The following is a 27,943-nucleotide window of genomic DNA, read 5'->3' as shown; positions in this document are numbered from 1 at the left end:
AGGGTTTTCAAGGTAAACGATAATCGTCAGCAAACAGGGACAGTTTGACTTCCTCTTTACTGATTTGGATTCCCTTTATTTCTTTTTTTCTTTTTCTTTTTCTTTTTTTGAGATGGAGTCTCGCTCTGTCGCCCAGGCTGGAGTGCAGTGGTGCGATCTTGGCTCACTGCAAGCTCCGCCTCCCGGGTTCACGCCATTCTCCTGCCTCAGCCTCCCGAGTAGCTGGGACTACAGGCACCGGCCACCACGCCCAGCTAATTTTTTTTGTATTTTTAGTAGAGACGGGGTTTCACTGTGTTAGCCAGGATGGTCTCGATCTCCTGACCTCGTGATCTGCCCGCTCAGCCTCCCAAAGTGCTGGGATTACAGGCGTGAGCCACCGCACCCGGCCCAGATCCCCTTTATTTCTTTCGTCTGATTGCTCTGGCTAGGACTTCCAGTACTATGTTGAAGAGGAGTGGTGAGGGTGGGCATCCTTGTCTTCTTTCCGTTCTCAGAGGGAATGCTTTCAGCTTTTCTCCATTCAGTATTATGTTGGCTATGGGTTTGTCATAGATGGCTTTTATTACATTAAGATATGTCCCTTGTATGTCGATTTTGCTGAGGGTTTTAATCATATAGGGATGCTGGATTTTGTCGAATGCTTTTTCTGAATCTATTGAGATGATCATGTGATTTTTGTTTTTAATTCTGTTTATGTGGTGTATCACATTTATTTACTTGTATGTGTTAAACCATCCCTGCATCCCTGATATGAAACCCACTTGATCATGGTGGATTATCTTTTTGGCATGTTGTTGGATTTGGCTAGCTAATATTTTTGTTAAGGATTTTAGCATCTATGTTCATTGAGGATAATGGTCTGTAGTTTTCTTTTTTGGTCGTGATCTTTCCTGGTTTTGCTATTACGGTGATGAATAGGGATGAATTAGGGAGGGTTACTTCTTTCTCTGTCTTGTGGGATAGTGTCAAAAGGATTGGTACCAATGCTTTGAATGTCTGGTAGAATTCTGCTGTGAATTGGTCTGGTCCTGGACTTTTTTTTCTTGGTAATTTTTAAATTGCCATTTCAGTCTCGCTGCTTGTTACTGGTCTGTTCGGGGTATCAAATTCTTCCTGATTTAAGCTAGGAGGGTTGTATTTTTCCAGGAGTTTATCCACCTCTTGTAGGTTTTCTAGTTTATGTGCGTAAAGGTATTCATAATAGCCTTGAATGATCTTTTGTGTTTCAGTGGTGTCAGTTGTACTATCTCCTGTTTCGTTTCTCAGTGACTTTATTTGGATTTTCTCTCTTCTTTTCTTGGTTAATCTTGCTAATGTTCTATCAATTTTATTTTATCTTTTCAAGGAACTAGCTTATTGTTTCATTTATCTTTTGTATTTTTTGTTTTGTTTTGTTTCAATTTCATTTAGTACTGCTCTGATCTTGGTTATTTCCTTTCTTCTGCTGGGTTTGGGTTTGTTTTGTTTTTGTTTCTCTAGTTCCTAGTGACCTTAGATTGTCTGTTTGTGCTCTTTCGGACTTTTTGATGTAGGCGTTCAGGGCTATGAACTTTCCTCTTAGCACTGCCTCAGCTGTATCCCAGAGGTTTTGATAGGCTGTGTCATTATTGTATTCAGGTGGGTGTATTCAGCTCCCACGCAAACCGAAAGGCTGGTCTTGTCTCACTCCCATGGTGTACCGCACCCCCTACCCCTCCAGCGCCGAAACAGCCCCGAGTGTGTTTGAGTCTGGCTTGAAAACTTGTCCCCGGCTTTCCACCTCCAAGCTGCAAAAGAAAAGGGCTTTAGTTCATCCCCCACCTGTGAAGTCTGCAATCTGGATTTGCGCCCTCCCCGGAGTTCTGGCCAGGAGGCTTCTTGCCCCATTCAAATTGTTAAAAAGTTCAGCTAGAGAAGTCCTTCTCCCTGTGGAGTTTTACCCTCTGCTCTGATGGCCATCCTCCTGATGGATCCCTGTGTTGCCAGGCAGGAATGGGCTGCTTGGGGATCCAGCAAGCTCCCAGTGCCTTTCTGCTACTTCCTCTACCCCTGTATTTCGCTCGGCTTGGCTTTCTAACTTGACTCAACTCCAGCTAAAGTCAGGAATTTCTCCAGCAAACAGACCTTCAGCTTCTCCAGTGGGGGTGTGTCTACCTCATTAATTTTAACTCTGTGACTTATTCCATTATCCCATGGTTTAAGCCCCATTTACCAGATCCCCTCTGACAAATTTTTAGGTTGTTTTCAATTTTCCTCCGTAACAAACCGTGCTGCAGAGAACATTCTTTTATGTATCTTTGGGTGCCTGTGGAAGAGTATCTTTGGGACCAATTCCTAGAAATTGAAATATGGGTCAAAGGGTTTACACATTTTGCATTTTGATAATTATTGTAAAATTGACTTCCAAAATTTTTGATACTAATTTAGACTCCCACAGAGTGTATGAGAGTACCCATTTCAACGCATCCTCATGGATACCGAATATTAAGTGGTAAAACCATTTAAATCACTGCTGTAAAAGGCATTTTTTTCTCTGTAGAAAATGTTTTCAGATTCAAAGTAAGGGATGCATAATTTTTAAATACAAAGCTAGAGATTTTAGTTTTACAAAATATTAGTTTTTTTTTGTTGTTGTTGTTGTTGTTTTTTTTTACTATTTGTGTAGCCCCAACTGAATACTGAATAACAGTTGTTATTATTTGATCTGTCATACTGAAGCTGTTACTTTTGAAGTCATGTAAAAGTTGCATTTTCTCTAATGCTTACCAGATGGGAGATAGTTTGACAGCTGCTTTGTTGAAATCAGCAATTAAGTAATATGTGTGTATATGTTAACCAGCAAGCAAATAGAGTATGTATTATGCCCTGGAAAAAATATATATCAGCTGGGCGTGGTGGCTTATGCCGGTAATCCCAGCACTTGGGAGGCCAAGGCGGGCAGATCACTTGAGGTCAGGAGTTTGAGACCAGCCTGACCAACATGGTGAAACCTCGTCTTTACTAAAAATGCAAAAAAATTAGCCAGGCATGGTGGCGGGCACCTGTAATCCCAGCTACTCGATAGGCTGAGGCAGGAGAATTACCTGAACCCGGGAGGTGGAGGTTGCAGTGACCCAAGATTGTGCCACTGCATTCCAGCCTGGGCGACAGAGGGAGACTCCATCTCAAATAAAAAAGAAAAGAAAAGAAAAAAAATATGTATGTTATTTTAACAAATAAGCCTTTAGTATTTCTTCTAAAAGAGTCCACAGATGCTGTGGAACATATTTGTTCAGGTACAAATGCATTCCATAGTAATAAAATGTTGTTATTTTTTATATTGCAATCCCAAATATTTTCTGAGTTTAAGCTTTTAAGATCTTTTATAGCTTAAAAGCTGTTCTCCCTACCCTCCATACCCATGTAACAACCAGTTTCACTTTCTTTTATCAGTTAAAATTTTTCCCCAGCAATGAATGTTAGTTATTTGGACTAAGTGGGAAGTATTATATGGTCTGTTGTGACATATATTATTCTTAAAGTGTAACTTTTGAAATTTGTCTTTTCATGTATATATACATTGCTCTTAGTCTTTGCTGATAGTTTAAGTTGATATACTAATGCTGAAATAGCTTTAAAGACTTTTCAATTTTAAAAGACATTTTTAAAAATAGGCTATGTCTGTTGGGGGAACTTTTTCCCTCTTGTTGTTTTTATTTTTGCTTATTTTTGTAAACTCAGAGGACCCTGACTACCATTTATAGTGGTATTTCAATGCTCTACCATTTGGATATAATTAATATAGTTAGTGCTGTATTAACCAAATACGGGAGCAGATAAAATATGTTTATACTTACAACGATGTCATTTTATCTTCCTGTAAGATCAGCACTTTAAAGGGATTAACTTTATTTACTTAAATGGATCACATTTTCAGTTTTATTATATATTAATTGTGTTATTTTTCTGTTTATTTTTGTAGGCCCTGATTTTGTTGTTTGTGATGAAGGCCATATTCTAAAAAATGAAGCATCTGCTGTTTCTAAAGCTATGAATTCTATACGATCAAGGAGGAGGATTATTTTAACAGGAACACCACTTCAAAATAACCTAATTGAGTGTGAGTTAATATCTCTGATTATGCAGTAGAATATTGGTATTTCCTCAGATATATTTTTGTAACGTTACCATTTACCTTTCTTCTACTTATTCTAGTATAGTCCTAGACCATGATCTACATAGGTTCATCTTAGTCTGCTGTGAAAGAATAACATACTTTTCAAATGAGATGCTTTATAAATGAGTGGTAAAATACAGTTAAGAGATACGCTATTGTGAATGTTCATATATAAATATGGAATGTGAATTATTGCAAGAGTATCAGAAGTCTTAATGATTGCTTTAGAAAGTACATAAGCATATGTGATTACTCCAGATAATTTTAAGGGGATATTCCAGTTTTGGGGCATGTACTGTCAAGAAATCAGAAAGAAATGGGAACTGTGAACATTTTAGTAAAGTGGAGATGGGAGAAGGAGAGGTTTGCTGAATCCATGGCAGGACAGTTTGCTGAGGCTAAAGGTAGTTGATGTGAACCTAGGGAAATGACTTGTGAATTACCCTCATTTTCGTATGTCTGTGGTGACACTAAAGAAGGGAACATGAGATTATTCAGCAAGTAACTAATTGAAATTTCCTGTTATAATCTCTCACTTTTTTTCTTTTTCCCACTGTAATGGCTTTTTGTTATTTTTCTCTGTGTTACATTCCTTTAGTGTATTTATGGTAACTTTTTGCTATTTTATTATTTGTAATACTAGTCATTTCACTTTAGCCTATACTTTATGTTTGTTTTTATCTGTTCCAGTTTTCCTCTTTTCTATTCTGTTACCCTATTTATAGAAATGCTGTTTCATATTGTGGTCCTATATAGTATGGGACAAGTGATGGCTCTGTTAATTTTTACAAAATGGGTTAGTCTTACAAAATACATTAGTAATTAATTTTTTTTTTTTACTATTTGTGTAGCCCCAACTGAATACTGAATAACAGTTGTTATTATTTGATCTCTCAAATATTATTTGGTTATTCTGGAAATGAATCAGTTAATATAAATTAACTTGCTTAGTAGCTTATTACCTCCTATTTATTGTTTTGACTTAGTATCTCCTTTCTTCACAAGATAGCCTCACTGACCATAAAATCATGGTTAGATTAATGGACCACTTGTTTTATACTTCATATCTCTTATAAAGAATAATAGTGAGTTTGAATAAACTGTCCTTAGGTATTTTTAAAAAACGTTCATGTCTAGTATTTAGGGATGGTTTTTACTTCAATTTTCTCTCTCGTTTTGGTAATTCACTTGTAGATCAGACTTATAACCATGTTTATTCTATACTTAGCTTGATATTCTTTCTTTATAGCTTAATTCTAATGCATGTGTTTTTGACATGAGCATTTCATTGGGGAATTTTTCTAAGTCTTTTTAACGATTGTTAATGTTGTTAATGAATAATGTCTTCTCTCTTAGATCATTGTATGGTTAATTTTATCAAGGAAAATTTACTTGGATCCATTAAGGAGTTCAGGAATAGATTTATAAATCCAATTCAAAATGGTCAGTGTGCAGATTCTACCATGGTAGATGTCAGAGTGATGAAAAAACGTGCTCACATTCTCTATGAGATGTTAGCTGGATGTGTTCAGGTACAAATATGTTCCATAGTAATAAAATATTCTTACTTTTTTATATAACAATCCCAACATATTTTCTGAGCTTAAAGTTTAATAATTTTGTGTTTTCTTTCCCGCTCTTTCAGTAGATAGTTTTACAGTTATATCTCCTTGCGTTGTCTTAAAAAATTTCTGCTGCATTCAACTTTTAAAAAAGAAGTTCCGCTGAGTTTAAAACATAGTTGATTCATTTGCCAGGTGTAAAGCCTCATATCTTATTATGTTAATGTTTAGATTTTTCATCCTTAAGATAGGGAGTTCCTTAAGAGGAACATAGCTACTATGATGAAGTTCCTATGCTCACCCTAATTCTGTAGTACAGTATTATAAATCTCACTTTTTTGAAATGGTTATAGGAGAGGCCAGTATGAATTAAGAGAGGAGCCACTTTTAAAGTAATCCTGGAGAAACAGTTTTGTTACTTTCAAGTATATATAATAACCTGAACAGACTAGTGGTGTCGTTTACATACAGATTTTCAGTGAATCTATATTAATGAATGGATAAGTGTCTAGAGACTGAGCTGGCAGTTAATAGATCTCAAGATACGCACTTTCTCTGTAGATGTTAGGTACTGATGATAGCCTCAAAGATGTTTTAACAAATGAGACAGGCTATTCTTTTGGTTGGATATACAGTTTGCCCTCCATATCTGCAGGTTCTGCATCCATGGATTCAACCTACCATGGATCAAAAATATTTTTTTAAAAAATAGATAAAATGGACAGAGGCTAGGTACAGTGGTGCACACCTGTAATTCCAGCACTTTAAGAGGCCAAGGTGGGAGGATCACTTGAGCCCAGGAGTTCAAGGCTGCAGTGAGCTAAAATCATGCCACTACACTCCAGGCTGGGTGACAGAGCAAGACCCTGTCTCTAAAAAAAGTTTTAAAAAATTAGCCAGCCACGGTGGTGCGCACCTATAGTCTCTGTCACTTGGGAGGCTGAGGCAGGAGGATTGCTTGAGCCCAGGAATTCAAGACTGCAAGGAGCTAAGATTATGCCACTGTACTTCAGCCTCAATGATAGAGTAAGACCCTGTCTCTTAAAAAAAAGAAAGAAAATAATTAAGAAAAAAATGGATGATTGTGTCTGTACTGAACATGTACAGACTTTTTTCTTGTCATTATTTCCTAAACAATAGAGTATAGCAACTATTTACATAGTATTTGTATTGTGTGAGGCATTATAAGTAATCTGGGGATGATTTAAAGTATATGGGAGGATGTTTATATGTTATATGCAAACACTACATTATTTATATAAGTGACTTGAACTTTCATGGATTTTGCTATCTGTGGAGGTGGGGTGGGTTCTGGAACCAGTCTCCCATAGATACTGAGGCATGACTGTACTTGCCATCATTATAAGGAGTAGTTGTTCCGTTTGGTCAGGTTGGCTACATGTGCTAGCAAGTACCCTGTTTCTGTATTGCTGCTACTACCCAGGCAGCATTTTTCTTTCTGGTTTAAGGAGTAATTTCTATTTAGCACATTGGTGTTCTGTTTTTCTACTCTTACAATAAAATGGTTTCAAGAGTGCTTGTAGAGGGGTTGCTTTCTTAATTGGGCAAATATTCCCTCTAAAATTATATGTTATTGTTTGACATATTAGCATATCTTTCTAAGAAGCCAACTCAGACTGCATTAGACTTTGATTCCTAGGTTTTATTACATGATTAAAGCAAGGCATTTTGCTCACACTACCTACTACATCCCCTCCATACCTTTTGTTATTTTTTTTTCTGTACAGAGAAGACTATTTTGAAAACTTAAATTGCTCACTTGGTAATGTGATTGCTTCAATTTAAAACCTACCTGGTGTGTTGCAGTGTCTTTTTACCAGTGTACCATATTGTATAGTCATATGAAATACATTGTGTAGATAATTGTGGGTTTAGAAAGGGTAAATATATTTAAGAAAATGTTTTCTTATATGTTTAGTGCCTATTTATTTATGTGTATATTTCAGTTATAAGCAATGAGAACTTGTAGTTCATTCCTGTTAAATATTTAGATTAATTTTCATTCTCTTTCTTGTTAATTACAGAGGAAAGATTATACAGCATTAACAAAATTCTTGCCTCCAAAACACGAATATGTGTTAGCTGTGAGAATGACTTCTATTCAGTGCAAGCTCTATCAGTACTACTTAGATCACTTAACAGGTAAACAATACACCTTGTTGATTTCATCTTCTCTATAAAGACATTCTTTTTCCAAAGAAGATTATTTCAGTCATCTTACTATGTCTGTTGTTCTTTTTCAGTTTTGCATTTGAATAAAATGGGTATGCTTAAAAGCATAAAATATTTCTAATTAAAACACTGATGCTGTCAAAATTAAAATCAAGAAGCAAATTGATGAAAAAGATATACAGCACATATGAATAATGCCCTTAATTTGTAAAGAGCTTTTATTTCAGAAAAATTATGAATGTGAATAAATCCATAAAAGAAGATATACAAAATTCCAGAGTATTTTTTTAAAAAGTATTTACCCACATTAATAATAAAAGGTGTATAAGTTAAATTCATGAGTTTGTTTCTCAGTTATTTAATTAACAAAGGTTGAAGGCAAAAGTAAAATAGAAGGCAAGGCATGTAGTATGCCTAAAATACACCAAAATGCTAACAGAAGTTGTTTTCTGGGTGCTTTTGTTATGAAGACCTTCTAGTTTATTTCTTGTATTTTTCTATGCTTTAAAATAATACAATGAATAGTTTTTGTTTTACCATCAATAAGCTTTTTGTGTGTGTGTGTGTGTCTGTGTCTCTCTGTGCCTGAAGATGTCTGTCTTCACACAACAAAACCTAATCTTTGGACTGGAGTGAGATTTCTTACTTGTTGATCACTTATTCTGGTACCTTTCCCCAAATGATATTACTGATTTAATTAGGAGATACAGGTTAGAGGGTGCTCTTTGGCCAATTGTGAATACAGTAATTGATCAAAAAAAAAAGGAGGATGGAAGTACGTACACACATATTAACATGATAATTATAGCTAAAGTGGTACTCTTTTTTAATAGCAGTGCATCCTAGAGAGTAAAATATGATGGTTCTCAAGAAACATTCTGCTGGGGAAAACAGTGTTTGAATCTTAGTATTTTATGGAACTGCTTTTTTGCTTTTATAAAAGCAATTTTTGTATTGACTTTTGGAAGAAAATCAGTTCCAATAAAGCACACATTTTCATTTGTATATCTGTCAGAAGCTGATAGATTTACTATACTATTCTGTTTTGAATAATAAAAATTGCAGGCATAATTAAATAACCAAATAGTTATCCCAATGAGAGAGTTGCTGTATAGTTTAAGAGACAGATGTTCAGATCTGTCTTTAATTAATCTCTGAGTAATAAGGAGTAATAAATTTGGTCATTTAATATTTTTTCCTTTTAAAATGTTTTATATTAGGGAAAATGCTCACAATAGTGTTTTCAGGTTTTATAGAATTAGTTGTCTTTAATAACCAATCATAGGCTGAGCATGGTGGTTCATGCCTGTAATCACAGCACTTTGGGAGGCTGAAGTGGGAGGATTACTTGAGCTCAGGAGTTGGGGACTAGCCTGGGCAGCATAGTGAAACCTTATCTCCACGAAAAATCAAAAAATTAGCCGGGTATGGTAATGCACACCTGTAGTCCCAGCTACTTGGGAGGCTGAGGCGGGAGGTTTGCTTGATCCTGAGAGGTCAAGGCTGCAGTGAGACATGATTGTGCCACTGGATTTCAGCCTAGGCAACAGAGCACTACCTTGTCTCAACAACAACAACAACAACCACCACCACCAATCACAAATGGTAACAGCTCAGGTATAAATGTTAAGCTCTACTCTTTTGAGTTGACCTCATGGAGGTAGATAGAATGATAGATACCCGAATCTGGGAAGTATGTGTGTGTTGAGGGAGGGATAGAGAGAGGTTGGTTAATGGGTACAGACACATAGTTAGATAGAAGGAATAAGTTCTACTGTTTGATAGCAGAATGGGGTGACTGTAGTTAACAACAGTGCATTTTATATTTCAAAATAGCTGGAAGAGAGGACTCGAAATGTTTCCAACATATAAAAATGATAAATACTCAAGGTGATGGATACCCTGAATACCCTGACTTGATCATTGCATATTCTATGCATGTAACAAAATATCACATGCACTCCCAAAATATGTAAAAATAATATGTATCAATTTTTAAAAATTTTAAAAAAACACTCTTTTTGAGAGCAATGCAATTATTTAAGAATTTAGGGGGCTTTGCTTTATTCTTTGTGACTATCATTGATAGGAGTAAATATCTAAAGCACTAATTGCCATAGCTAAAATCTAAAAGATATGATTGTTAAATTATCACCTGGTACCGTGAATCTTTAAGTTTTAGGGTGTGGGGTTTTCCCCTTACCAAATGCAATATTACCCATAGAGTAGAATAACCTGAGTTAAATAGCCTCTTTGAAAAACATTCATAAAAGGCCAAGTGGGTTATATGAATGGCTACTCTGTCTTGATTCTCAGTACAAATCTTCACAGTATTTCTCTTGAAATATCACCTGCCTATTTTACTTGCATTTAAAATGTTTGGTATTTTGTCTGTTAAATATTCCAGAAATTTTTTGTTTCTACATTAGGCTTTTTTAGACTGTGGTTACTTTTAAGAAGTTCACCCAAATTTTGTTTTTAACATTAGCAGCAGTTTCATATTAATTTTAGTGATAATTTATAATATTTGCAGAATGAAAGTCCTAAGGGACTGGCTTTTAAAGAATATTGAGGAAATCTAAAATCCTCTTAATTTTTCTTAGTTTTCTTTTTTTCAGTGTAATTCTATGGTTTGCCTTTTATTGTCAGGTATCAGAAGTTTATAATAACATGTAAGCCTCTGCAATTCAGTAAACACTTAAGGTTTTATAAGCATGTAGATACTTAATTTTTTAATAACTAAATATTAGTCTGGCTTTAAACTTAAAATCCACACACTGTCTTATTTTGACAACTGTGCAAAAAATAGAACACAGGAAAAGATAGCCCATGGAATGTGAGAAAATATTGCAAAACATATATCTGATAAGGGATTCACATGCAGAATATAGTTGTCCCTTGGTATATGTGGGGGATTGGTTCTAGGACCTGCCTGTGTATACCAAAATTTGCTCATACACAAATCCCGCAGAACCTGCATATATGAAAAGTCAAACATAGGTTTCACATTCTGTGAATACTGTATTTTCAATCAACATTTGGTTGAAACAAAGTCTGTATAAGTGGACCCGTGTGGTTTATACCTTTGGTGCGCAAGGGTCAACTGTATGTAAAGAACTCCTACAACTCAACAACAAAGAAACAGTCTGTTTCAAAAAGAAGCAAAGGATTTGAATAGACATTTCTCTAAAGAAGATATACAAATGGCCAATAAGCACATAAAAAAATGCTCAACATATCTACTCATTAGAGGAATGCAAATCAAACGTACAGTGAGATACCATTTCACACCCATTGTGGTGGCCATTATAAAAAAAAAAAAGGAAAATAAGTGCTTATGAGGATGTGGAGAAAGTGGAACCCTGTACATTGCTAGTAGGAATGTCAGATGATGTGGCTACTATGGAAAAACATTGTAGTAACTCAGAAAGTTAGACATAGAATTACCATTTGATCTAATAGTTCCACTTATAGGTATACCCAGAAGAATTGAAAGCAGGAACTCAAGCAGATACTGGGACACTTATGTTTATAGTTGCATCATTCATAATGGCAAAAAAAGGTGGAAGCAACCCAAATGTCCATTGATGGATGAATGCATAAACAAAATGTGGTATGGACATACTTCAGTGGAATATTAGCCTTATAAAGGGGGGAAATTCCGACATTTACTACCACATAGATGAAGCTTGAAGACATTAATGCTAAGTGAAATATATCAGACACAAAAAGGCAAATACTGTATACTTCTGCTTAAAGGTACCTAGAGTAGCCAAACTCTACGAGTAGAAAGTAGAATGGTGATTACCAGGTTCTGGGGGACGAAGGGAATGGGAAGTTACTGTTAATGGGTACTAAGTTCTGTTTGGAATGATGAAAAAGTTCTAGAAATAGAGAGTGATGATGTTTGTACAACATTGTGATTATACTTAATGCCACTCAATTGTGTACTTAAAAGGTAGTTAAAACAGTAAATTTTTTATTTTATTTTATTTTTATTTTACTTTAAGTTCTGGGATACATGTGCAGAACGTGCAGGTTTGTTACGTAAGTATACATGTGCCATGGTGGTGTGCTGTACCTATCAAGCCATCATCTAGTTTTCAAGCCCCACATGGATTAGGTATTTGTCCTAATGCTCTTCCTCCCCTTGCCCCTCACCCCCCAACAGGCCCCAGTATGTGATGTGCCCCTCCCTGTGTCCATGTGTTCTCATTTAAAACAGTAAATTTTTAAAATGTATATTTTACCAGAATTTAAAAAGTACCCCCAAATGGAGCACAGTAATATGCTTTTGTCTCTAAAAATGCATGGACCCAAGTGCCACTCTTTAGAGATTGATTCAAAAGGTCTGGAGTAGGGCCGATGCATCTACAGTTTTATGAGCCCTACAGGTGATTTTGATGGACCATCAGCTTAAGAACCATTGCTCCAAATTTTTTTCTTTGGTAAGGGGTGAGCTGAGACCTGAGATGAGTGAACTAGACAAGGGGAACATGGAGAAATGACACTGAAATGTTAACTTTGATGGTTTTCTCTAAGTGGTGGAAATATTAATTCTTTTGTATTTTACTTGTTATATACATTTCTGCAAAATTACAAAATCCAAGAAATATACATATATGTAAAACTTCCATAATCAGAAAAATACTTTAAAGTTTCATTTTGTTTTTAATTGACACATGGTAATTGTACATATTAATGGGCACAGAGTGATATTTTGATACATGTATACATTGTGTAGTGATAAAATTAGGGTAATTTAGCATAACTATCACTTCAAACACTTGTCATTTCTTTGTGGTGAGAACATTCAAAATTCTCTTCTAGCTGTTTTTTAAAATTATATTTCTTTTAATTAAAAATATTTATTTAAACATTTTTTATATAGAGAGATGGGGTCTTGCTATGTTGCCCAGGCTCGTCTTGAACTTCTGGGCTCAAGTGATACCCCATCACAGCCTCCCAAAGTGCTGGGATTACAGGTGTGAGCCACCATGCTTGCATGAAATAGCCTCATCTGGCTATTTCAATAAGTTATTAAGTTAAATTTAGTGTTTAAAAATATTATGACTAACATTGGAATAGTGTACTTCAAGCTGGGAAAAGAATGTATAATAGTAATTTCCAAATGTGGTTGTACTGTCAGAATCACCATTAAATGCAGAACACTACTAAATTTACAAAGATAAAATGATACTAAGTGTTTCTGAGGCTATAGAGAAATGAGCCCTCTTGATGGTAACATAAATTGGACAGTAATTTGGAAAGGGACGTCAAAATTAATTTCAATTGTATGCTTTTTTCCAAAGGAAATGGTCAGAAATGTATGCAGAGATTTATATTAAAAGATGTTAATCTCAGGGTTTGTTTCAAAACTTAGTTTTCTGGCTACAGAAATAGCAATGTGTGTTCATTGTGAAATATATATGAAATATTGAAAGGCACTAATACAATAAAAACTACCTATAATCTTATAAACTAGAAGTTGGAACTGCTAGTTATTTAATATTTAATATCTTGCTTTCCAGTTTTTAAAATGTATGTGTGACACTTAAATGTCATAAACACACACTACATAAACACACAATACATATACATTGTGTTTATATACTATATATATATATTTATTTATTTATTATTTTTTTAATGGCTGGAATTATATTATCCAGCTTGTGACCTAAAGTGAACTGTTACTTGTTGTGGCATTATTTATAATAATGAAAAATTGAAAATTAACCCAAATCCTCAACTTTTGGGGATAGTTTATATTATGGTATATCACCATAATCTAATACCATGCAGGAAGATACATTAAATATTATAACATAGAATATTGTGTGTTAATATTTAGGAATATATAGAATATATTATGTAATAAAGATGAAATAGTACCCATTTCTGTGAAATAAAAAGGATATGTATGAAAATGCATAGCAATGTGATCAAAAAGATAATGCCACAAAATATTTTTTAGTGTACACTCTAATATTTTCAAATTAGTAGAATTGTGTTTATAATGTGTATTAAATTACCTCTTCAAATTGGCTCTATCCCCTTCTCTCTGTTTTGATATGACATTTATCAGCTCTTCTGACTCCATCAACCACGTCTCAAGATCTCTTCCACATTCCTGATCATTTTAACTCTGCTGCATTAAGTTAGTATATTCTGACATATCTTCCAGCTAAGTAGTTTTTGTCTTTGGATGTGTGTCTTATGCTATTAAGAGGAATTTAATTGAAATGTAAAACTCAATGGCTTTCTCCTGAGGTCAGGAACAAAACAAGGATGTCACTTTTGCTTCTTATATTTAACATTTTCTAGAGGTTCTGGCCAGGACAATTATACCAGAAAACTAAAAGTATGCCACAGTGTCATGGAAGGGGTAAAACTATTTCAGTTTGCAGGTGACATGATATTGTATAGAGAAAAAATTTATTGTTTTAAGTTTTGTGGGTACATAGTAGGTATATATATTTATGGGGTACATGAGATATTTTAATGCAGCCATGCAATGCATAATCACATCAGGGTAAATGAGGTATCCATCTCAAGCATTCATCCTTAAATGACAAACAAGTCATTTATATTATTTTATTTATTTTAAAGTGTACAGCAAATTATTGTTGCCTGTAGTCACCCTGTTCTATAAAATATTAGCTCTTATTCATTCTACCTAACTATATTTTTGTACCTAATGTCCATCTCTCCTTTCCCCCTGCCCTACTACCCTTCGCAGCCTCTATTAACTGCTGTTCTACATTCTATCTCTGTGAGTTCAGTTGTTTTAAATTTTAGCTCCTGGACGGGTATGGTGGCTCATGCCTGTAATCCCAGCACTTTGGGAGGCCAGGGCAGGTGGATGGCTTAAGGGCAGGAGTTCAAGACCAGCCTAGCCAACATGGTGAAACCCTGTCTATAAAAAAAAATACAAAAGTCGAGGTGGCATGTGCCTGTAATCCTGGCTACTCAGGAGGCTGAAGCAGGAGAATCGCTTGAATCTGGGAGGCAGAGGCTGCAGCAAGCTTTGGTCATGCCACTGCATTCCAGCCTTTGTGACAGAGCTGCCTCAAAACAAAAAACAAAAAACTTAGCTCCCCAAAATAAGTGAGAATATGTAAAATTTGTCTTTCGTGCTGTTTCATGTTGTTTGAAATGACAGGATCTCATTCTCTTTTATGGCTGCATAGTACTCCATTGTGTACATGTACCATATTTTCTTTATTCATTCATCTGTTGATAAACTTTGGGTTGCTTCCAAATCTTGGCTGTTATAAACAGTGCTGCAACAAACATAGGAGTGCCAATCTCTTCAATATACTGATTTTCTTTCTTCTGAGTATATATCCAGCTGTGGGATTGCAGGATCATATGGTAGCTCTATTTTTGCTTTTTTGAGGAACCTCCAAACTTTTCTCCATAGTGGTTGTACTAATTTACATTCCCAACAGCAGTGTATGTGGGTTCCCTTTTCTCCACCTCCTCGCCAGCGTTTGTCTGTCTTTTGGATAAAAGCCACTTTAAAGGGTGAGATGATATCTTATTGTAGTTTTGATTAGCATTTCTCAGATGACCAATGATGTTGAGTACCTTTTCTTATACCTATTTTCCATTTGCATGTCTTCTTTTGAGAAATGTCTACTCAGATCTTTTGCCAATTTTTTAATTAGGTTGTTAGAATTTTTTTCCATTTGACTTGTTTCAGCTCCTTATATATTGTGGTCATTAATCCCTTGTCAGATGCGTAGTTTGCAGGTATTTTCTCCCATCCTGTGGGTTGTCTCTTCACTTTGTTGGATTGTATTCTTTCCTATGCAGAAGCTTTTTAACTTGATATGATCCCATCTGTCCATTTTTTTGTGTTGGTTGCTTCTGCTTTTGAGGTATTACTCAAATCTTTGCCCAGTCCAATGTCCTGTAGAGTTTCTCCAGTGGTTTCTCTTAGTAATTCCATAGTTTAAGGTATTAGATTTAAGTTTTTAATCCATTTGAATATGATTTTTATATATGGCAATAGATAGGTGTCCAGATTCATTCTTCTGCGTATGGATATCCAGTTTTCCCAGCACCACTTACTGAAGAGACTATCCTTTCCCCAGTGCATGTTCATGGCACCTGTGTAGAGTATGCGTTCACTGTAGGTGTGTGAACTTGTTTCTGGGTTAATTATTCTGTTTCATTGGCCTATGTGTCTTTTTTTTTTTTTTTTTTGAGACGGGGTCTCGCTCTGTTGTCCAGGCTGGAGTGCAGTGGTGCAATCTCGGCTCACTGCAAGCTCTGCCTCCTGGGTTCACGCCATTCTTCTGCCTCAGCCTCCCAAGTAGCTGGGACTACAGGCACCCACCACTGTGCTGGACTAATTTTTCGTATTTTTAGTAGAGGCGGGGTTTCACTGTGGTCTCGATCTCCTGACCTCATGATCCGCCTGCCTCGGCCTCCCAAAGTGCTGGGATTACAGGTGTGAGCCACTGTGCCCGGCCGGCCTATGTGTCTTTTTTATGCTAGTACGATGCTGTTTTGATTACAGTAGTTCTATAGTATACTTTGAAGTTATGTAATGTGATTCCTCCAGTTTTGTTCATTTAGCTCAGGATAGCTTTCACTATTCTGGGTCTTTCGTGGTTCCTTATAAATTTCAGGATAGTTTTTTCAATTTCTGTGAAGAATATCATTGGTATTTATTTCATAGGGATTGCTTTCAATATGAAGATTGCTTTAGGTGGTGTGGACATTTTAACAATATTGATTCTTTTGATCCATGAACATGGAATGTCTTTACATTTTTTGGTGTCCTCTTCCATTTCTTGCATCAATGTTTTATATTTTTCATTGTAGAGTTCTTTTACTTCTTTTTTTTTTTTTTTTTTTTTTGAGACAGAGTCTCTGTCACCCAGGCTGGGGTGCAGTGGTGCGATCTTGGCTCTCTGCAACCTCCACCTCCTGGTTTCAGTGATTCTCATGCCTCAGCCTCCCAAATAGCTGGGATTACACGTGTGCACCACCATGCTCCGCTAATTTTTGTATTTTTAGTAGAGGCAGGGTTTTGTCATGTTGGCCAGCCTGCTCTTGAATTCCTGGCCTCAAGTGATCCACCCGCATTGATCTCCCAAAGTGCTGGGATTACAGGCATGAGCCACCGTGCCCTGCCTCGCTTCTTAAATTCCTGAATATTTTGTTTTATTTGTAGCTATTGTAAATAAGATTACTTTCTTGATTTCTTCAAATTGTTCACTGTTGGCATATAGAAATGCCAATGATTTTTGTATATTGATTTTGTTACTTGCCACTTTACTGAAATTGCTGATCAGTTCGAATAGTTTTTTGGTGGAGTCTTTAGTTTTTTTTCTTTCCCAAATATAAGGTCATGTCATCTGCAAACAAAGATAATTTGACTTCTTCCTTTCCCATTTGTATGCGCTTTATTTCTTTATCTTCTTTGATTACTCTTACTAGGACTTCCAGTATGATGTTGAATAACAGTAATGAAAGTGGGCATCCTTGTTGTGTTCAAGATCTTAGAGCAAAGACTTTCAGTTTTTTCCCATTCAGTATGATACTAGCTGTCGGTATGTCGTATATAGCTTTAATATGTTGAAGTATGTTCCTCTGATACCCAGTTTTTTAGGGCTTTTTATTATGAAGGGATGTTGAATATTATCACATGTGCTTCCAGCATGAATTGAAATGATTATATGGTTTTTATCCTTTATTTTGTTCATAACGATGTATCACATTGATTGATTTCCATATATGTGTGTGTGTATATTTATATGTGTGTATGTATGTATTTTTGTGTGTGTGTGGGTTTTTTTTTTTTTTTTTGTAGAGATGAGGTCTCTATGTTGCCCAGGCTTGTCTTGAACTCCTGGGCTCAAGGGATCCTCCTTCTTCGGCCTCCCGAAGTGCTGGGATTACAGGTGTGAGCCATCACACTCAGCTGATTTCCATAAACTGAGCCATCGTTGCATCCCTAGGATAAATCCCACTTGGTCATGATGAATGACCTTTTTAATGTGTTGTTCAATTTGTTTTGCTAGTATTTTGTTGAGGTTTTTTGTATGAATGATCATCAGGAATATTGGCCTGTAGTTTTCTTTTTTTGATGTGTCCTTGTCTGGTTTTGGTATCATTGTAATACTGGTCTCAGAAAGAATTTGGAAGTATTCCTTCTCTATTTTGCAGAATAGTTTGAGGAGGATTGGAATTAGTACTTCTTGGAATGTTTGGTAAAATTCAGCAGTGAAGGTATTAGGTACCTGGCTTTTCATTTTTTAATTTTTCTTTGGGGGATGGGGTTGGGGCTTTACATGCCATAATATGTTTATTTTATTTTATTTTACATTTTCATTTTAGGTTCAGGGGTACATGTGCACATAAATTGGGGTAAATTTACCCATACATGTACCCATGAACCTAAAATGAAAATTCTTTAGGTAAATTGGGGTCTCTAGGTTTTCTTTGCTTTGGAGACTTTTTATTATTACTTTGATCTCATTACTTGTTATTGGTCTGTTCAGGTTTTGGATTTCTTCCTGGTTCAATCTTAGTAGATTGCATGTGTCTAGGAATTTATCCATTTCTTCTAGGTTTTCCAATTTATTGGCATATAGTTGGTCATAGTAGCCTCTAATGGTCATTTAAATTTCTGTGGTATCAGTTTTAATGTCTCCTTTTCCATTTCTGATTTCATTTATTTGGGTATTCTCTCTTTTTTTTCATAAGTAGTCTGACTAAAAGTTTGTTGAGTTTATCTTTTCAAAAAACCAAGTGTTTGTTTCATTGATCTTTTCTACTTTTCTACTTTTAAACTTTTTGATGTGTTGTTGAATTAGGTTAGTATTTTATTGAGGGTTTTAATATCTATGTTCATCAGTGATATTGGCCTATGGTTTTCTTTTCTTTCAGCATCTTTGTCTGCCTTTGGTATCAGGGTGATGCTTACCTCACAAAAAGAGTTTGGAAGTATTTCCTGTAATTCTGTTTTTTGGAAGAGTTTAAGAATTGGTATTCATGGTTTTTTGAATGTTTGGTAGAATTCAGTTTTGAAGCTATCTGGTTCTGGGTGATTTTTGTTGGGAGGTTTTTTTTTATTACTACTTATTTCTTTTTCTTAATTCTATTTTTAATTTAATTATTTTGTTTTGTTTTATTTGAGACAGAGTATTGCTCCATCACCCAGGCTGGAGTGCAGTGGTGCGATCTCAGCTCACTGCAACCTCTGCCTCCCAGGTTCAAGCAGTTCTCCTGCCTCAGCCTCCCAAGTAGCTGGGATTACAGGCGCCCACCACCATGCTTGGCTAATTTTTTGTATTTTTAGTAGAGACAGGGTTTCGCCATGTTGGCCAGGCTGTTCTCGAACTCCTGACCTCAGGTGATCCACCTGCCTTGGCCTCCCAAAGTTCTGGGATTACAGACGTGAGCCATCTTAATTTTATTCGTATAAATTTATGGGGTACATGTGTAATTTTGTTACATGGATATATTATAGTGGTGAAGTCAGGGCTTTTAGTGTATACACAGAATAATGTACATTCTACCCATTAAGTAGTTTCTCATTCACTCTTCTCGTTTCCCCCGACCCTTCCAAGTCTCCATTGTCTGTCATTCCACACTCTACATCCATGTGTTCACATTATTTAGCCCCACTTATAAGGGAGAACATGACACTATTTATCTTTCTGTGTCTCAATTGTTTCACTTAAGATAATGGCCTCCAGTTCCATCCATGTTACTGCAGAAGACATGCTTTTGTTCTTTTTTGTGGCCAAATAGTATTCCACTGTGTATATATACCACGTGTTCTTTGTTCATCTTTTGATAGACACTTAGGTTGATTTCATAGCTTTGCTATTGTGAATAGTGCTACAATAAACATGTAAGTGCAAGTATCTTTTTTTTTATGTTTTTGATATAATGATTTCTTTCTCTTTTGGTAGATACCTAGTAGTGGGATTGCTGGATCAAATGTTAGTTCTATTTTTAGTTCTTTGAGTAATCTCTGTACTGTTTTTCATGGAGTTTGTGCTAATTTACATTCCCACCAATAGTGTAAACATATTCTCTTTCCTCCGCATCTTTGCCAACATTTATTTTTTGACTTTTTAATAATAGCCATTCTAACTGGGGAAGATATGTCATTGTGGTTTTGATTTGCATTTTTCTGACGTTTAGTGATGTTGAGAATTTTTTCATATGCTTGTTGGCCATTTGTTATATCTTCTTTTGAAAAATGTCTATTTATGTCTTTTGCCCACTTTTTAATGGAATTATTTGTTTTGTTTTGTGTTGTTGTTTGAGTTCCTTGTAAATTCTAGATATCAGTCCCCTGTTGGATGTCTAGTTTGGAAATATTTTCTCCCATTCTGCAGATTGTTTGTTCACTCAGTTAATTATTTCTTTTGCTGCTTTTTATTTAAGTCCCATTTGTCTGTTTTTGTTTTAGTTGCTTTGCTTTTGAGGTCGTAGTGATGAATTATTTGCCTAGGCCAATGTCCAGAATGATTTTCTCCAGGTTTACTTTCTCTAGGTTACTTCTCTAGGTTTACTTCTAGTATTTTTATTGTTTCAGCTCTTACATTTAAGTCTTTAATCTATCTTGAGTTGATTTTTGCATATGGTTAGAGATAATGGTCCAGTTTCATTCTTCTGCATATGGGAATCCAGTTTTCTTAGAACCATTTATTGAAAAGAGTGTCCTTTCCCCAGTATATGTTTTTATTGACTTTGTCAAAGGTCAGTTGACTGTCAGTATGTGTCTCTATTTCTGTGTTCTGTATTCTGTTCCATTGATCTTTGTGTCTATTTTTATACCAGTACCATGCTGTTTTGGTTACTGTAGCCTTGTAGGGTAATATGAAGTCAAGTAATGTGATACCTTCAGCTTTGTTCAAGAATTAATATTATTGGCCAGGCACGGTAGCTCACATCTGTAATCCTAGTACTTTGGGAGGCCGAGGCAGGCGGATCACTTGAGGCCAGGAGTTCAAGACCAACCTGGCCAACATGGCAAAACCCTGTCCCTACTAAAAATACAAAAAAAAAAAAAAATTAGCCGAGCATGGTGGCAGGCACCTGTAGTCTCAGCTACTCGGGAGGCTGAGGCAGGAGAATGGCTTGAACCCGGGAGGCGGAGATTGCAGTGAGCCGAGATTGCGCCACTGTACTCCAGCCTAGGCAACAAGAGCGAAACTCCATCTAGGAAAAAAAAAAAGAATTATATTATTAAAATGACCATACTACCCAAAGCAATCTACAGATTCAAACCTAACTCTATCAAAATACCAATGTCATTTTTTATAGAATTAGAAAAAACAATCCTAAAAGTCATATGGAACCAAATAAGAGCCCAAGTAGCCTTGGTCTCTTTATTTGTAATTGGTCTGTTGAGGCTATTTCTTTTTTATTCAGTGTTGATATATTGTATGTTTGTAGGAATTTATTTCCTGTAGATTATTCAATTTCTTGGTATATAATTTTTCATACTAGTTCTTTATGATCCTTCTTTATTTCTGAGGCATTGGTTGTAATGTCTTCATGTCTATTTTATTTATTTGAGTCCTCTCTCTTTTTTCTTAATAGGCTAAGGGTTTGTTGGCTTGGCTTATTTTTTTCAAAAAAACAACTTTTCCCCCTATATCTTATCTATTATTTGATTTACTAATGCTTTGATCCTTATTTCCTTCCTTCTGCAAGCTTTGGGTTTAGCTTATTCTTTTTCTAGCTCCTAGAGGTATAAAGATAGGTTCCTTATTTGAGATCTTTTTTTGACATAGGCATTTATCATTAAAACATTCCTCTTCTTACTAAAGTATTTTCTTTAACCACATTCAAATGAAATTAGAAACCAATAACTGAAGGAAAGTTTAAAAATTTACAAATACATGTAAATTAAACAACATATATCTAAATAACCAATGGACCAAAGAAGAAATCACAAGGGAAATTAAAAAATGCTTAGAGGTTAATGAAAACAAAAACACAGGGTACTAGAATATGGGATATAACTTAAGTAATACTTAGAGAGAAATGTATGGTGGTAAATACCTGTATTAAAAAAGAAGAAAGATCTCAAATTTATAATTCAACCTTCTACTTTGCAAATTAAACCCAAAACAAGCAGAAGGAAGGAAATAATAAAGAAATGTGAGGAACAGAAAAACAGTAGGGAAAATCATTGAAACCAAAGGTAGGTTCTTTGAAAAGATTAACATAATCGACAAACCTTCCTTCACTTACAAAGTAATGAAAAAAAAAGGCACAGCTAAAATAAGTGCCGACTACAGTGGGTCATGCCTATTAATCCCAGCCTTTCGGGAGGCCAAGGCAGAACAATCCTTTAAAGCTAGGAGTTTAAGAACAGCCTGGTCAACAAAGCGAGACCCTGTCTCTACAAAAAATAAAAAAAAGAATTAGCCAAACCTGGTGGCATGTGCCTGTAGTACCAGCTTTTGGGAGGCTGAGGCAGGCAGATGGCTTGAGCCCGCAGGAGTTCGAGGTTGCAGTAAGCTATGATTGCATCACTGCACTCCAGCCTGGGTGACAGTGTAAGACCCTGTATCAAAAAAACAAAAACAAGAACAGAAAGAAAAATGACCTAAAGTAAGGAATGAAAGAGTATCACTACTAACCTTACAGAAATAAAAAGAATTATAAGTGAATATTGTGAACAGCTGTATGCCGAGAAATTATATACCTCATTTTCATAGCAGTGATTTCTGTTACACAATGGAAATAACCTCTATCAGGCAAAATAATACTCAGCAGATTTTTATGCATTATTAATGTTTCATATCACTACTAAATTTTCTCTCACTCGTGGAGGCAAAATTTGCTAATTATTTAAACAACTTACATAGTTTAAAACCGTGGATAGGAAAATATGTTATTGCTTAAATGCTGTTTTTTCCTTTTAATCAGTTTTGTTCTTTTGCATATTACCTTCTTGATAATTTTATTATATTAATGAAACGTGCATTCATTTTCTTTATGTTTTATAGGAAAATGATAATTCTGTTGAAATTATTCTGGATAGAGCAGAGCTAATATTTACATTTTATACATCAAAAACATAATTTTTGGAAGGTCTTTTTTTTTTTTTTTTAAGAGACAAGGTTTTGCTCTTTCATCCAGGCGGGAGTGCTGTGGTGCAATCATAGTTCATTGTAACCTCAAACTCCTGGGCTCAAGTGATTCTCCCACTTCAGCCTCCCAAGTATCTAGGGTATCTAGGGCTATAGGTGTGTGCCATCATACCTGGCTAATGTTTTTGTTTTTCTTGGTGGAGACAGAGTCTCGCTGTGTTGTCCAGGCCTGTCTTGAACTCCTGGCCTCAAGCGGTCCTCCTGCCTCGGCCTCCCAAAGTGCTGTGATTACAGGTGTGAGCTACTGTCACTTGCCTAGAAGTAATTTTTTTGAGTGAGCATAGTTGGCGAGAGTCAGTAAAGGACTATCTGCATGGAGCAAAGTTTATTTATAACAGGAGTTTGTAATCTAGGGTCCATGGATAGAATTTAGGGGATTATATGTACCTGGATAAGAAAAAAATTATATATTGATTTCCCTTAACCTCTAGCTAAAGCAGCAGCATTTTTCCCAGTGATGAATAGAGGCAACAATCTATAGTAGTGTTAGTGATAACCATGACTTTGTTACCAATAGAAATCAGAAATATTTTTACATGTTGTTCCTGATACCTCAAAATCATTTATGTTTATCAATACTTCAGAATTTTAGGTATTTATTAAACCTGTGCATATTTTGTTACTTAATGCATTAATTTTAAAAAGCACATATTTCTGTAGTACAAATTCTTTAATATTTTGATAATTTCTATATGATGGGTTTCTTTTGTAATCCTATTTGTTTTATGTGTTTCAAAACGATATTCCAAGAGAATTTATAAGCTTCTCTACACTGCCAAAAGTGTTTATGTCACAAGTAAGATTAAAACTCCTAATCTAGAAACTTGGTTGATATAGACAATTTTTGTGTCTTTAACCATATTTCTTTTGATCAGGTGTGGGCAATAATAGTGAAGGTGGAAGAGGAAAGGCAGGTGCAAAGCTTTTCCAAGATTTTCAGATGTTAAGTAGAATATGGACTCATCCTTGGTGTTTGCAGCTAGACTACATTAGCAAAGAAAATAAGGTAAGTCAGGTAACTTAGTTTAAAAGCATCTATTGGAAGCAGAATAAACTTAGACAAAAAATTGACCTACAGACTGTATATTCAAATTTTCTATTGCTTTGTTCTATTCTATGTCTTATTTCTAATTTCTATATGTCTTGCATGTATTATGATTATAGGAGTGTTAAATGTTATTTTATTGAGCCCATTTTAAAAAACTTTTTATTTTGAAATAATTTTATACTTATAGAAAAGTTGCAAAAATAGTTCTGAGAATTCCCCTATACCTTTGACCCAGTTTCTTCTAATATCAGCATGTTGCATTAGTATAGTAAAGTTATCAAAACTAAGAAATTAACTTTGGTACAATACTATTAACTAAATGGCAGACTTTATTTGGATTTCTTCAATGTTTTTACTTATGTCTTTTTTGTTTTCCATGATCCAATCTAGGACCTCCCATTGCATTTAGTAAGCATATCTGTCCTGTCTTCTTTGTCTACTAAAATCTGTAATAGTTCCTCAGTCCTTCCTCAGCTCGTGCCAATTAACTTATTCTTAAATGAACATCAATATAATTTCCAGTGTAAGTTGAGATATTCTATTAAAATAGTGGTCATTTTTTTTTCTCTAGGGTTATTTTGATGAAGACAGTATGGATGAATTTATAGCCTCAGATTCTGATGAAACCTCCATGAGTTTAAGCTCCGATGATTATACAAAGTAAATCGAATACTTTTTCGTGCCATCCTGTATTGACAAAGTTAAAACCCCTACTTGCTGATTGACCTCTTATAATTGACGTTTACATCTTTCCTATGCTTTTCTAACAATCTGAATGTGTTTTTTTGTTTGTTTGTTTGTTTGTTTTTAGAAAGAAGAAAAAAGGGAAAAAGGGGAAAAAAGATAGTAGCTCAAGTGGAAGTGGCAGTGACAATGATGTTGAAGTGATTAAGGTCTGGAATTCAAGATCTCGGGGAGGTGGTGAAGGAAATGTGGATGAAACAGGAAACAATCCTTCTGTTTCTTTAAAACTGGAAGAAAGTGAGTCTAATGAATGTTGCCTTTATCATGGAACAGTAATTTGGAAAATGTCATGTCGTTAGTCCTTTTTTCAGTCACTTACCTGACTAATTGACTCAAAGGAATCTTTCCTCAATTGATGAGTCTAATCAAGTACTCATAATTACAGTAAATATCTGATGAATCTTTAATTATAAGCAAGCTACTCTGTGCTCTCTGGTATTTGGGGGAAAGGTAAAAAGAAAAACTAATGTTTATTTACTTGTATATACCTAAACTCTATTATTTTCACTACATGTGTTAGCTAACTGAATTCTTGAGCAGGCTTGCAATGTAGTTGATAGTTTTAAAAATGAGTAGGAGAACTGGTATTCAGACCTAAAAATGTCTAATCTCAAAGCCACCATGATATTTTCACTTAACTGTATGGGAATAAATGGAAACATTTCAGATAATCAAGTGTGATTGTAGTTAATTTTTAGTCAGTAATATACAGTAAAACTAATTTTAATCATTTAGTGTTTTTCCTTTGTGATTCTTCATAATCTGCAATTATCTACTTTAGGTTTCCTGTGTATTATGTACAGTTTCTATCACCTCTTTTGTTTTCTTTCTGTCTCTCTTGTGCATGAAAGTGAAGTCTTAGATTGAACTCTGCAGTGGTTTAAGTTGTCTTTACCTATATGTAAGTTGAAGGATTAGTGTTGAGACACTGTATCCTACTAGTGCAGCCTGTATGCCTAGGAGCTTAAAAACTGGGACCAAATGTCTGCCTATTTGAAATAGCAGATTATGAAGAGAGAACAAGGTAGTGGCTCTAAATATTTGGCATTTGGGAGTTGTGGAGCAAAGCAGTTAACTGTCTATAAGGAGAAGAGAGTTGTGGGGGCCACCTAGGTTAGTGATCCTGTGATCAGATAAACTTGGCTGGTCTCAGGCCTACAGCTGAAATAACTTGGTGATTAATTATTTTAATTTTATTTTTATAATTTCAACTTTTATATTCGGGGGTACATATGCTAGTTGATTAACATGGGTATATTGCATGATGCTCAGCTTTGGGGTATGATTGATCCCATCCCCAGGTACTGAACATAGTACTCAGTAGTTAGTTTTTCAGTCTTTGCCCCCTTTCTCTCTCCCCACTCTAGTAGTCCTCCGTGTCTGTCGCTCTCCTCTTTATATCCATGTGTACCCAGTGTTTAGCTCTTACTTATATGTAAGAACACGCCGTATTTGGTTTTCTGTTTCTGTGTTAATTCACTTAGTATATAATGGCCTCCAGCTGTATCCCTGTTGCTGCAAAGGACATGATTTTGTTCTTTATTGTGGCTGTGTATATTCTATGGTTTATATGTACCACATTTTCTCTATCCAATCCACTGTTGATGGGCACCTGGGTTGATTCCATGTTTTTGCTGTTGTGAATAGTGCTGTAATAAATATATGAGTGCATGTGTCTTTCTGGCAGATTTATTTTCCTTTTGTTTTATACTTGTAATGAGATTGCTGGGTCAAATTGCAGTTCTGCTTTAAGTTCTTTGAGAAATCTCTAAACTGCCTTCCATAGGCGGTGAACTAATTTACAATCCCACCAACATAAATGTTCCCTTTTCTTTGCCCCTTCTCCAGCATCTGCTGTTTTTTGACTTTTTAATAATAGCCATTCTGACTGGTGTGAGATTGTGTCTCATTGTGGTTTGGATTTGCATTTCTCCTGTGGTTAATGATGATGAGCATTTTTCATGTTTGTTGGCTGCTTGTATGTTCTCTTTTGAGAAGTATCTGTTCTTGTCTTTTGCCCACTTTTTAATGGAGTTACTTGTTTTTTTGCTGTTGAATTAAGTTCCTTATAGATTCTGGATATTCATTGTTGGATACATAGTTTGTGAGTATTTTCTCTCATTCTGTAAGTTGTCTGTTTACTCTGTTGATAGTTTTTTTTTTGTTATTTTGTGTTTTTGTTTTTTTGTTTGTTTGTTTGTTTTTTGTTTTTGCTGTGCAGAAGCTCTTTAGTTTAATTAGGTCCCAGTTGTCAATTTTTGTTTCTGTTGCAATTGTTTTTGAGGAATTAGTCATAAATTCTTTCTGACTCGGTGATTTCTTTATAAACATTTCTCTCTTCAGTACCTCCATGGAATAGACAGATGGCAGTCTAACAGTAGACTCTGACTTCTCTTAAGAAATCAGGGGAATAGTAAAAATTAAACTACAAAATTTCTCTTCTCATTCTTCTCTTCTGTTACCCCATAAAACAGTTTACTATCAATGTTCATCTTCTGGATAGATATAAAGAATATTTTTATCAGAATAATAAATTATTATAGTGTAATTTAAGGCAATGAGAAGTTCCTGTATCTCCTTCCCTGCTGCTGCTGCCCCAATCTGCCTTTTCCACATAAATTCCTCAGTCTCTCATCTCATAATTAAAAATATATAAAGTTTACATGTTCCTGGAAATTATTTTCTTAAAATACTCTTGTTGAATTTTTTCTCATAACTTATGGCTAACAGGAGCAGAAGAGTAGACCAGTCAGTGTGCATCATCCTGTGCTATAAATGGGTTACGTAAGAGTATACTGAGATTTTTTTTTTAAAGTGTACTGAGATATTGATCCTTTGTCACTTGGGAATACAATTAGAATCTGAGGCAGCTGGTTTGCCTCCGTAAATGAGTAGTCTCTTCTCTTTTTCCTGGTATGCTATATAAGCATTAACGTTTTTTACATATGCCATAATGTGAATGGGTTGGAAAGCACTGGGGGCAGAATGTAGGAGGCTACATGTTGTGAGCCCAAAAACACACAGGGAAGGCCATCAGTTCCAAAAGACAAATTTTGACCACTTGTCTAGGATTTTTGTTTCATTTTAGTTGTGTGCAGTCAAATATAAGTCATTT

The 27,943-nt window shown here is 35.3% G+C and overlaps 1 protein-coding gene across 11 annotated transcripts in view; it reads left to right on the top strand.

Annotated features, from left to right (window-relative positions):
* ATRX (ATRX chromatin remodeler) overlaps positions 1-27,943 on the top strand; it is a 281,337-nt gene that overhangs the window by 161,741 nt on the left and 91,653 nt on the right. For 10 of the 11 annotated variants that reach the window (XM_005262156.5, XM_005262157.6, XM_006724666.5 and 7 more), the window contains 6 exons: positions 3,944-4,081; positions 5,495-5,670; positions 7,746-7,863; positions 23,912-24,042; positions 24,656-24,744; positions 24,896-25,065. In XM_005262156.5, the coding sequence (XP_005262213.2) occupies positions 3,944-4,081; positions 5,495-5,670; positions 7,746-7,863; positions 23,912-24,042; positions 24,656-24,744; positions 24,896-25,065 (822 nt within the window). Of the gene's footprint in view, positions 1-3,943; positions 4,082-5,494; positions 5,671-7,745; positions 7,864-7,964; positions 8,228-23,911; positions 24,043-24,655; positions 24,745-24,895; positions 25,066-27,943 lie in introns of those variants that run through there. The other variant, XM_006724668.4, reaches the window with a different exon arrangement.

The sequence above is a fragment of the Homo sapiens genome, chromosome X (assembly GCF_000001405.40).
Source record: "Homo sapiens chromosome X, GRCh38.p14 Primary Assembly".
Lineage (NCBI taxonomy): Eukaryota > Metazoa > Chordata > Mammalia > Primates > Hominidae > Homo > Homo sapiens.
The sequence above is the reverse complement of the archived record's forward strand: the minus strand, read 5'-3'. Positions and strand labels throughout refer to the sequence as shown.